Genomic DNA, 13433 nt, shown 5'->3' on the forward strand with positions numbered 1-13433 from the left:
GTATCTAAAAGTACTAACAAAAATAACTGTAGTAAGAACTGTAGAGAAAACTGGTTTTAAGAGATTGGAATTTGCTTTCAAAAAGACAAAAAGGAATTTTCCCATCTCACATTGACTCTGAGCTCCCATAGTTGAAAGAAAGATATCACCCAGGAAGAGAACAAGAAAAATAAATATTTTAAAGTAACTCACTGTAAAGAGTTTTTCTCATACATATTGTTGTATTTCATCAACACCAGAGTTCTCTTAGGTTGGCAGAGCAGAAAATGTACTGATAGGTGATTCGATAAAACTCGTACTTATTGGACCCCTGTTGAGTTCCAGACACATTCCCAGGCTTTGATATTATCTCATTATTCCTCTCAGCAATCCTGGGAAGTAGGTGGCATTTTCCTATTTTATGCATGAAAAAATCGAGGATTAAAGAGGTTAAGAATTGTGCCTTAGGTCACACAGCTGCTAAATAGCAGAGCCAGAATTTGAATCTCAATCTGAAGCCAAATGCCACGCTCCTTTCTTAAAGCTCTTCGTTGCGCTACAACCAGAACGAACATGAGCCTTTGGATTCTCAATCTTGTATTTTCTCTACATTGTGCTGACTCCCTGCAGAGCTAAGATAATGCTCTTAGAAGCATCTTTAATGGTTGTTTTGACACCCTTGTTTAACAGAATTTTCTTCAGACTAAACATTCTTGGCAAGGCAGTGGTTCACCCAAGTGCTTTGTTAATTTTAAAGTGCAATAAAAAACGGAAGCCCTTATTATGGGGAGGTGGTGCAGTGCAATGGAAGGAACACTTGGCCCAGAGTCCGAAGTTCCGCTTCAGAATCCCTACTTCTGCCAGCTCACTTGGAATGGCATAGGGTGAATTAACAGCTGAGCTTGTCTGACTGGCCTGCCCACTAGCCATCTTCATATCTCTCTCCCTTCTCTCCCTTACGGGGTTATGAGTGTAATTGGTGTAATAAATAGCTTTGACTGCATAGGAAACAGATTTATTTTTTTCTTTTCATCACGGCCTCCTGGTTTGCTCTTTTGAACTTCCTTTTCGTAGCCCTTGATAACACTTGGCATAGGTTCTATAAAGAACTGATAGCTTTTGGTATAAGAACAGTCTCATCTTGGAATTGTTAATACTGAAATAGGAAAAAGCTTTGATCCAGTCTCAAAACTTTCAGTTTTTATCCATTTCAAGGCTTCTCTCTTTGATACCATTTGGCTGCTCAACTTCTCCCTTGCCTTTCTGCCCACCCCTCTGAAGGCAGGGATTAGAGAGGAGAACTCAAGGGAAAAGCCAAAGTCTTTTCACTTACTGGGTACCATCTTTGGGATGGCATCCTTCTCCTGTGGGCAGCTGTCTGGGTTCTTCGGAATGGTCACTCCCTTCACACGTCCCTCTTGTGAATATGTTTTACAGCTCATCTCCTCAGATGCCCTCTTCAGCTTCACATCACTGAGCAACTCCTTGTACTCAATTCTTACGGTTGGAGTCCTCCTGAGGGGGTCATCAACAAGATGGCTCCAGGCGGGCTCCTTGCTACAGGTCACTTGAGCTCATGAGAAACTCCTGGGTCGTGTCTCGTCAGAAGGTGACGGTGGAGTCTACTCTTCTTCACTCTCATTTCATCCTTCATCTTATCTCCAATTACATTTTTTCCTCTCTCTCTTTGTCTCACATAGGACAGAGAAAGCCCAGCAAGTCCACTGTAGAAGCAGATGCTCATCAAAATATGAGACACTAACATTACCTTCTTGCCAACCCCCATCTCTACAGGCAGTTCTCCTGCAGACCTCTCCCTGGCTTACTTAGAGAGGTGGACCCTCCTCCACCTGGGAGTACTTGTGCCCTAGTTTCCTGACTCCATTCCCCCCAAATTATTGGTATGTGTCTCTGACAGAGACTTGGAGGGGATGGGCAGTGATGGTCACAGGACCAGATTTGCTGCTTTAATAAATACTGCAAGGATATATTTCAGATTTTTAGTGGCTCTCTTTGGAATGAGAAGGTACTTGGCATGTACTATTCTCAATTTAGAGATTTTTGCCTCAGTTCTCAGGCAATGACAGAGCCTGATTTACAATTGTGTGACATTAGAATCAACAAATTTTATGAAACAGAGTAAAAATGCCAGAAAGCCTGTCTATTGCTGGTCACCCAAATGTGATTTTTTCAATAAACATTTATACATTAGGTATTGCAATATGCATTGAAAATACAATGATAAATATAGCTGTATGCCTACTTTCAAGAATCCTGGATGAACTATTTCAGGAAACCAATAAAAACATTAAAATTAAGTTGATTGGGATGACTCTAGAAATCTACCTAGTTTATATAATAGTAGAGAAGTACACGTTTAGTGGTATTATCAGGGGAAACTATTTTGAGAAATAGTAGTGCTATGAATATTGTTACTACTTCAAACAATAATGATAATGGAAATAATGATACTAACATATAGTTATTGAATAATGATCATGTACCAGGAGTGCGTGCTTTACATATAGTATCTTACATTGTCATCACAATAATCCTGTGAGTTAGGGACTATTATGGTCCTCACTTCACAAATTAGAAAAATAAGGCTTAGTAAAGGTTGAATGTTTTCTCAACATGACAGATCTGTTTTCCTACTATCCTTGCACTTTTAACCAGTAGACAATACTGCCTCCTTGGAACCACAGTTTGCAGGCATATTGTGAGGTAGAATAAATGCTTTCTGATAGCGGTAGCATTAAAATAAGTAGTACTTAAAAGAAGAGGCTTAATAAAAGATGTTATTCTTCTGGATAGAAGAAGAATGGCTAGAACTGGGTACCATCCACCCCTACCGAATCAGGTGAAAGATGAGATTTAGAAGCTAGTCTTCATTTGAGTCTTCTTCTCTACAGGAAAGAAGCATTTGGGTTCCAGACATTTGCCTTCCATTGTCTGCTTCCTGTACATTCAAACCTGCTGACAGAGTGGCATATTTGGAAGCTGAGTTTCTGCTCTTCCTGAACTTTACAAAATGTAAGGTTGCCAGTTACTATAAGTTGAAAATAGCACCAGTATTTAGCCAAGAGTTTTCAGAGTTGGAAAGAGACTCTTGGAGTATTTTTTTTTAAGAGCAAATGAAAAAAGCTAGGATTTTTAATAACGCCTAATAGTAAATAGAACAAAAGAAGTAAGACACGCGTTTTAAAACACACACACATGCAATGTTAAATTTTATGAATAGTCTCTGTTTTCTTAGCTCACTGAAAATGATTTCCCAGAACCTTTGAAAGAGAGCATAGGTACTAAATCTGATTTCCTTGAAATCCTTTTCACTTGAAATTTTATGAAGGTGCTTTATGCAGTACTGAATAAGTTGAGTCTTCTAAAAGAGTAGGTTCCGTAGCAGAAGGAATGTTGTCAGAGTTGCAAATGGTGGATGTTCAAGCATTATCACTGCCAAAAATTTAATGTAACGATTTAAACTAGCACAGACCCAAAGGCCAAACATCGAATGAAATTGGGCTGTGAATCCTGTCTCCTGGAAGAAATGCTTCCATAGATTCGTAGAATGCTAAAGCTGCAAAGGAATTTAGGATTCCACTACTTTAATCTTTTGCTTTACAGGTGAGGAAACTGAGTTAGAGAGAAGCTAGCATAATCGCACAAAGACAGGTTGTTTGTGACAGAAGCATGAAAAGAACCAGGATCTCATAACTCCTAGTACATCATCAACCCAGAAGACAGCTCTTTAGCCATTTCAACAGGTGTTGATGTGGATGAACATGATGTCATACTACAGTGATGACATAAACATATTTTGTTCTAGTAACTGTACAGCAATGTAAAGAGTTTTTAAAAATTCTTTGCAAGACTATATTGCAAAGGTGAAATGTTTTTTCCTGTATTTGTCTTATTTGCTAATAAATATTAGCCTAGTGAGCATTATCAGTGTTTAGCTGATTTTTAAATTTTAACCACACCCAGTGAGAAAAAGCCTATTGATCTTGAAATGACATAATGACGTTTGAAATGAGAATATCATTCAAGAGTTATAATCTGGCATGAAACTACAAAGGATTTATCATACAAGAGCTTATACTTCTTACAGAGTAACAAGTGTACAGTTTATGGCTGGTGCACCAGCTCCCTGATGATATCAACACACTCCTTCCACCCTTTGTAACCACCATTCAAAAAGTGTGGCTTGTGATCGTGACCTCACTTCCAGTCTCTTCTTTGCATTCCCAGGAGGTGGAAGGAGAAAACAATAAAGAACAAGAGACAGAGTTGAGGCATTATTTCAGAAAGTGAAGCTTACCCTACAATCTCCTTTTTATTTCTGCTTTTAACACATTGGCCAGACTGTGTCTCATGAACAGCCCTGTGAACAAGGGAATCTGGGAAGTATAGGTTTTTGGCAGAGCATCTTACTGCCTTTTCTCTCCCAGTATTATGATTTAGTTATTAAAAAGAAGGAGAAAATGGATATGTGGCAGGCAACCAGCCATAATTACCACAAAGAGAAGCAAATATGGAAAAGACACTAACCCAAGGTTGAAGAGACCTGTGTAATATTAGTCCCAGACTCCTAGATTTCAGTTACCTGGCTTTGCATTATTGGACTCATTGCTGAACCCCACTAAATACTTTTTCTCTCATTTTAAAGTGTGATGATCAGATTAAGAATAATTACAAGGTAACTTTAAGAGCTAAAAATGCAGATTTCTGTTACATAGAGCTGTGCAGTCCAATATAATACCCACTAGACACATGTGGCTATTAAAAGGTGGCAAGGCTGAATGGAAATGTTCTGTAAACTTAAACACTTGATACTGAAGACTTAGCTGACAAAAATAATATAAACTATCTCACTACTAATTTTTTCTATCAATTACATGTTGAAATAGTATTTTTGATATATTGGGTTAGATAAAATATATTACTAAAATTAATTTCACCTGCTTTTAATTTTTTTTAATTGTGGCTCCTAGAGAATTAAAATTACATATGTAAGCCAGGTGTGGTGGCCTGTGCCTGTAATCCCAGCTACTTGGGAGGCTGAGGCAGGAGGACTACTTAAGGGCAAGAGTTCAAGACCAGCTTGGGCAACATAGCAAGACCCCATCTCTCATTTTTTTTTTTTTTAATTAGCCATATGTAGTGGTATGGACCTGTAGTTCCAGATATTTGGGAAGCTGAGGTAGGAGGATTGCTTGAGCTTGGGAGTTTGAGGCTGCTGTGAGCCATGATCACACCACTGCACGTTAGCCTGGGTGACGTAACAAGACCCTGTCTCTAAAAAAGAAAAGAAAAAATAAACTAGATGTGTAGCCTATGTTATATTTCTGTTTGACAATATTGACACACAGAAGAGTGCATCTGGCTTTTAGAAACACTTCTTCGATTTATATCATTCTACAAATTCTTGCAGATTACCTTCGTACTGCTGAGTAATTAAGGCCAAGGTAAAACTACTATTAAGAATGTTCGGGGAAAATGGTACCATGCATACTGGCTTGCAAATCATTTTCCAAGAAATTCACTGGAATAACAAAAAAATGATTTTAAAAGAAAAAATGACGATCAACCATGGAAAAACGTAACCATGTAATAGAAAGGAAGAATTTCAGCTGGTTATAGTGAGAGTACAACCAGACTGAAGGTAACGATCAAGTCAGAACTGCCATTTTCAAGGACGCTTGGCAGTATTACAGGACGGAAGGAAAGAATAGCCTGGCAAACAATACCAAAGTCTAAGATTTCAAGAGTAAGGTAAAAAGGGAGCAAGGAGAAATATTAATAATAACTTTTATATAGGGAAACAGTGGGAGAGTCAGCCTCTGGACATTCACACTGTCTGTGAATCTTGGTGCCTGTGGAAGGTATGACTCAATGGCCCATCTGCATCTTCGTTCCGGAAGGCTTTCCCTTAACCAGGGAGTGTCACTCTGCCCTTGCACCACAGGCCTCAAAGACCAGTGAGGAAAACCCCCAGGCGCTGGCATCATCACTGAATGACAAAAGTTGGTGTTTAAATGTTTAATCCGGCTTCTTTTTCACTTGGCTGATTGTCTCTGAGGGTGCATTTTAAACTGGATTCCGGACTTTTCCTGGAGGAATTTGGTTCTAGTCACTCCTGGTGGAACTTTCTTGATAAGACATCTGTGTTGACTCTCTTCATTTCCCACCTCCCCAATAATCTACAGAAAGTGACTCTCACTTTCCCACCTCCCCACTAATCTACAGAAAGAAGAATAGTGGGTGCCTAGGGATGGGAGAAGGGGCAGGATAGGGGGTAATTGCTAAAGGCTACTAGGTTCCTTTAGCTTGAGATTTTTGCTTTCTGGATTTTGTTTTTGTTTTTGTTTTTTGGAGGGGGAGTTTTTTAGAGACAGGATCTCACTCTGTTGCTGAGGCTGGAGTGCAGTGGTGCTATCATAGCTCATTGCAGCCTCAAACTCCTGGGCTCGAGTGATCCTTCCACCTCATCCTCCCAAGTGGCTGGGAGAACAGGTGCATGCCAATAAGCCCAGCTAATTTTCTTTTTTTAATTTTTTGTAGAGATGGAGTCTTGCTATGCTGCCCAGACTGATCTTAAACTCCTGGTCTCCAGACATCCTCCAGCCTTGTCCTCCCAAAGTGCTGGGGTTACAGGTGTGAGCCACCGTGCCTGGCCCCTTTGTGGGATGATAAAAATATTTTAGTTAAATAGTAGTGACAGTTGCACAATTCTGTAAATATGCTAAAAGTCATTGAACTGTACAGACTGTGGATTGTATCTCAATTAAGCTGTAGGGGGAGAATGCTGACCTGGTGGTTGTGCATGACTGGAAAAAGAATCGTGGTTGCAAAAGTATTGGAAATATGAACAATTATGAATATTATAGTCACATAAAAGGAAATAAATATTATTAACTTTGACAAGGAGAAAATACTGAATGATGAAATAAGAAAGAAGGGAGAGAAAAATAAGATGTAGGGTGTATGTGCTAATTTCCCAATTTTTCATGGCAAGAACTAATCTTTAACCTGTCTAAAAACAAAAAATTAAAAAATTCATGATATGACTCCATCCTCATTGTTTTTGATAATTACTTTTCTTAATCTTATGGAGATGTTTTTGGGAACTCATAGTGATAAAAATATTTTTGAGAATTTAACCCACTTTGATTTTTTTAATTTAATTTTTTTTTTTTTTTTGAGATGGAGTCTCACCCTATCACCTAAGCTGAAGTGCGTTGGCATGATCTCGGTTCACTGCAACCTCCACCTCCTAGGTTCAAGCCATTCCTCTGCCTCAGCCTCCTGAGTAGCTGGGATTACAGGCATGCACCACCATGCCTGGCTAATTTTGGTATTCTTAGCAGAGACAGGGTGTTGCTATGTTGGCCAGGTTGGTCTCGAACTCCTGACCTCAAGTGATTCACCTGCCTTGGCCTCCGGAAGTGCTGGGATTACAGGCGTGAGCCACTGCACCTAGCCTTAACACACTTTTAATTGGGTTTTTTCTTCCATTATATTTTAGGAAAATTAAATTTAATAGAAATTATTTTAAAAAATACTACACATAGAATAACCTTATATTTGCAAAACTCTGTCCTCTTGTTCATCTTTCTCTAGAATCATATGGCAAGTAGTTACTGAATTATTATTTTGTGACATATTCACTACTATGTGAACTTATATTTTGCAAAACGCTGTCTCTCCTCCTGTTCATCTTTCTCTAGAATCATATGGGGACATATTGAGGATGATAGCCACTTAACATTAAACATGGTAATTACCAAGAGGTTGGATTATTGGTAAATTTCTTAATCTATGCTTTGTCATTTTCTGCACTGATTAAATTTATCATGAGTTTGCAATTGTCAAAAAACTAATCAAGTTGAATTTAATATGTATATGTAAATAAAAATATATAATAACGCTGGCTGGGCATGGTGGCTCATGCCTGTAATCCCAGCACTTTGAGAGGCTGAGGTGGGCAGATCATGAGGTCAGGAGATCGAGACCATCCCGGCCAACATGATGAAACCCCATCTCTACTAAAAATACAAAAATTAGCTGGGTGTGGTGGCACGTGCCTGTAATCCCAGCTACTCGGGAGGCTGAGGCATGACAATTGCTTGAACCCAGAAGGCGGAGGTTGCAGTGAGCCAAGATCGCACCACTGCACTCCAGCCTGGTGACAGAGTGAGACTCCATCTCAAAAAAAAAAATGTAATAGGCTGTGGAATGTGACTGTCATTATTTTCTTGGAATTGTAGATAAATGGTTAAAGGTAAAAACATTGGAGGACAAGCAATAGCTCAATTGTGCTCCCAGAAGCAACATGGTTGGGGTATGGGTGCACCTCCAGAGGGCAGGAGCCCACAGGTAGGACGAGAGCTCATCTGTAAGGCACATTACTGATGCAAAGAAGAGTGTCCACCAGAAGTCCCTGAGAGTGGGTGGCTAAGATGATCTCTATAGAACACAAACACACTCAGGGTCAAAAGAGTGATCTTTTAGTGATCTTCAGCAACAGAAGCCTGTCAAAAGAAAAGACAGAACCATAAACACAAAGACTTCTTTTTTCTTTCCCCCTCTCTCCCACCTCCTTTCCTGTCCCCTTTCCTCCCTGTTCCTCCCTCCTTATCCACTGAATCTCACTTACTATTCTTCTCTTCCCACACTCACCTCAAAAGAGCTCTCCCTCTCTCTCTGGATCTCCTGGGATAATGTCTCCCATGAATTTATGCTTTTATCAAGGCTTGAAAAGGGTCTGTCCTCAAACATCTTCTGATTTAGACTGTTCAGCTGCCCTCGAATCAGAGAAGCTCTTGACTTTGATAAAGGAAAAAATGCATAGAACACTTAATCTTCCTTATTTATTTTTCATAGTAGTGAATATGTCACAAAATAATTCAGTAATTACTTGCCACAGAGATTAAGATTTTCTCCTTTGGGAGTCAAATAATTTTCATTCAGATTTAATTTAATTTAAAATATAGGTAACCCAACAGATTCAGTGGTTTCTACTTTTTAAAGTTTTGTTGAAATTGTAATTCTCTCTTTCTCTCCCTCTGTGAAGGATGTATGTGTTTGTGCAATGAAGATATGTGGTAGTTTTATTTTGTGTTCGTTTTCCTGTAGAAAGTAAAACCTAGGAGTGTTGAAGGGGTGATAATATTATTCAGACAACAGGAAACTATCCCTTCTGAACTCAGAGCAAACTCATCTTGTCTTCATCTAGGGCAATGCTCTCCTTTGTGACTTTCTTGAGTTTCCTTCTGAATTCTCCTTTTGTGAAAGGAAAAAATAAAATCTAAACTAGGTCAATACACAGTGAGTATGAACAAAATACCCACACCAAGGTCTCTATTTGATTGTCCACCTGTTTTGCTTGTCACTCAAAGTAAAAGAAACATCGTGATAATGGGTGCATGGTATAGAACAAATATCTAGTAAAAAGTACTGGGTATGGTGAAACAAACAAGTCACAGAATGGTACCCTGCTATCAATTGTAGGTGCACAGGTGTACCCTGCTATCAATTGCATCCAACTGACAGGCTGTGGAGAAGACTAGAACATAATATGCAAAATGGAGACAGCAATTGTGATGAGGAGTTAAAATTATAGTAGATAATTACCCCTAGTTCTCAATTTTTTTGTAATGTTATGACAGAAAGAAGGCAGAGAAGAAAGATTAAGATCTTTAGAGCCTTGTCCCATGTTGTAACTCTGGCCTTCCACATCCATAGCTGGTTTAGCTTCTCCGAGCTTTGTTTTATATTCTGTAAATCTGGAAAAGTAGCAAAAATATTGCATAGCTCTTATGAAGATGAGAAATCAAAATAAAGTATTATGTATGCCTAGAAGATATTGTCTAAGAAATAAAAATATATCTGTATTGATATTATAATTAGTATATACTACTATAAATAAATTTTGTGTATAAAAAATACACAAAATGTTTGATGCAAGTGTCTCATGTGAACTCTGCAGAAGAAAAAGTTTCTGCCAGAACTCCATTAGAAAACAAGAGAAAGCTTGTCATGTTAGTTAAGAATTCAGACAAAATCTAAAAAGCGTTCCTTTCTCTATCAAATCTGCAAATTGTACTGAGCACAGCTACATAACAAGCATGTACTTGATGGCATATGGCATGCTAAGACAGATAAAGCACAGCCCCTGGCTTCCAATAGTTCACTGTCTAGTGAGGCATGCACGTTTGTTCACAAATAACCACAGGACAAAGAAGGAAATGACTACAAAGGAGAACTAAGATTTATTGACTTTTTACCTCGTGTCACACATTCTGTTAAGCAATTTACATAGAAGTATATATGATTATCTCCAATTTACCAAGGCCCAAGAAAGGCTAGGTAAATTCTGTAAGGCCACTTAGGTAGAGAACAGCGGTGCTAGAGCTAACACTGAAGAAACTGAGGTCAAAGACGGACTTCTTTCATACAAGGGTAGAGGACAGAGAGATTAATTCTGTCTTGGGGAAGACAGGGTAGGAAAGAGAACACTGGGGAGAGAAGCCTTTTAGCCGGATCATTGAAGAATGAGTGGGATTTTGATAATAATGACTTCCATTGCAAGTGGAAGGAATAGCGAGAAGAGAGGCAGGGAGGTGTGAGGTTGCAGAGTGCAGCTGATATCCACCACCAGAACCTGGGGTGGTGGCATTCATGCAAGGAGAGTATGGGGGTGAAACTGACCCCGTAAATTATAAGCAGTGTCATGTGAATCAAATAATACATTTTATTACTGAAGGAACAATCAGAAGTAATGGACTACTCTTGGAAACAGTCTACATCTTTCACAACTAAAATAAAATTTAGAAATTCAATCTGTAGAATGACAAGATGAGAAGAAATAAAGGAAATAACTTCATCTCTGAGAAAAAAGGGAAATTATATATATATATATATATATACTTACACACATATATATTTAAAAACCCTTAAGTACAAGAGCATTTACTCTGAATTTTTCAAAATAGAAACCCATATCCCCGAAAGATATATTTATTTCTTGGTGTGTGTAGGAGGTTAAATAATGTCTGTCTAAAATTCTTGCTCACTCAGAACTTAAGAATGTGACCTTATTTGGAAACAGGGGCTTTGCAAATGCAGATAACATAAAATCTAATGTATTAGGGTAAGCCTTTAATCCAATGATTGGTGCCTTTATAAAAAGGCCATATGGGTTGCATGCGGTGGCTCGCACCTGTAATCCCAGCATTGTGGGAGGCCGACGCGGGTGGGTCACAAGGTCAGGAGTTTGAGACCAGCCTGGCCAACATGGTGAAACCTTGTCTCTACTAAAAATACAAAAAAATTAGCTGGGCGGGGTGGCGGGTGCTTGTAATCCCACCTACTTGGGAGGCTGAGGCAGGAGAATCGTTTGAACCTGGGAGGCAGAGGATGCAGTGAGCCGAGATAGTGCCATTGCATTCCAGCCTGGGTGACAGGGTGAGACTCCACATGGAAAGAGAAAAAAGGCCATATGAAGACACAGAGATAGACACTGAGGGAAGATGGTCATGTGAAAATGAAATCAGAAATCAGAGCGAAGAATCTGCAAACCAGAGAGCACATAGGATTTCTAGTAACCACCAGAAGCTAGGAAGAGGCAAGGAAGAATTCCTCTGTAGAATCTAGAGGGAAGAGGACCCTGCTGAGACCTTGATTTCAGACTTCTACTTTTCCAAATTGTGAGAGAACACATTTCTGTTGTTTTAAGCCACCCAGTTTGCGGTACTTTTTTATGGCAGCCCTAGCAAGCTAATACAATGGGCAGTTGAAAATCTTAAGTAACTCATAACAAAATAAATTTGGTCATAATATGGCAGTTTTAGCCCATTTTAGTAGACGTTAGAAACCTTAGAGGTCATGGACTTTATGAAGACAGGTGCTACAAAGCTCCAAACAGCTGTCTGTTGGAAACAGCACAAAAACATGGATTCAGTAAATAAAGTTTACTCATTTTTTTGTATGCTAGACCTTCTTCATTTGTTCTGTAATAGTAGACTCTATAATCAGCTAAAAGTAAGAGAAAAACTAGTTACCTACCTCTCTCTTTCTCTACCTCCCTTTCCCACATATGTCCATCCCCTCATCCATCTATCTATCTACCCATTCTTTCATCTCTCATCCAGTCATTCATTTACATAACATAGAATTAAATCAGAATATGACAGGGACACTGAATCTACAGACATCCATGAAATAGTCAATAGAGTCATGGCCGGGAGAAAAGAAAATCACTTTAAAGAAAGACTTCAACTAACCAGAAATTAGACACATTTGTCTCACATAGGTTCTCATGCTGAGAAAGTTTATTTGTCAATATAGCTGAAGAAATTATAGGCATATCCATGTGGAAAAGGGCCTGAAGGGGAAAAAAACAATAACCCAGGCATTCTGTAAGGAGAACTATGCCAAACAGAAGAGCTTCAAAGTCCTGTGAAACTCTGAAACTCTTGGGCTAGAATTCTATGTCTCACCAACTTTCTTTCACTTCAGCTGCCAGTCCCTCTTCTCTCCCAGCTACGAATTCACAGTCAGGCAGTGTCAGTATATGCGGTGTGTTGCAGTGAAAATGCAAACACATTTTCTATAATGAACATATGGGAGACTCCAGTTGAAAAGAGTTCCGATTCTATCCCAAGCATGTTATTGGCTATGACTGCAGGGAAGCAGGCAGCAGACGGAACCAGGAAGCATGAAGGCAAGAAAGGAAGGATGTGTGCTTGACTGCTGTTTCAAGATCCTGAGTCCTGCCATGCCATGCTGCAGCCTCTTTCCAAAATCGAACTGCCTTGCTGGGTGTCTTTCTGGGTATTTAATATGTATCTTTCATTCTACAGCCCATGGCCTTACATAAGGGGAAAAAACTCTAACATAAATTGTATGTGCCTTGAAATTTGTATCTAGGTATCAGTATTTTTTAATTTTTTTAAATATGAAAAAATTAGGTATTCCAAAATTGAAGTAAATATACAAGTAACTTTGCATATTTATATGTAGGCAAACAATTGTTAATATTTTTATATTTTTCCTTCATATGTGCATTCTTTATGTGCATAAATATAAGCATGTGCATATATACATATATGTACACATTTTTATATATGTATAAAACCATATTAATATAGTACACTTTATCGTTAAAGGCAAGGACATTCTGATACATAATCTCTATATAGCCATGGGTATTTTTGAAAAGCTTTATCATGCCTTGCTATCAGTTTCACCAGGGTGATACAGATTCAAAATGACAATAAATTAAAATTATTTCTCTCCCCCAAATCAAATTACTTGTTTAAATGTCAACTCAAGAATGTTTCCTTCAAGATCCATCTTTTCCTTTTGATGCGGAAGAAGACCTCTATCTATACAGATGTGTCAGTGGTGAGCACAACCATGGGAAATGCTGTGAGTCAAATAAATAGCATTAC

Source organism: Homo sapiens, chromosome 9 (genome assembly GCF_000001405.40).
Source record: "Homo sapiens chromosome 9, GRCh38.p14 Primary Assembly".
Classification (NCBI taxonomy): domain Eukaryota; kingdom Metazoa; phylum Chordata; class Mammalia; order Primates; family Hominidae; genus Homo; species Homo sapiens.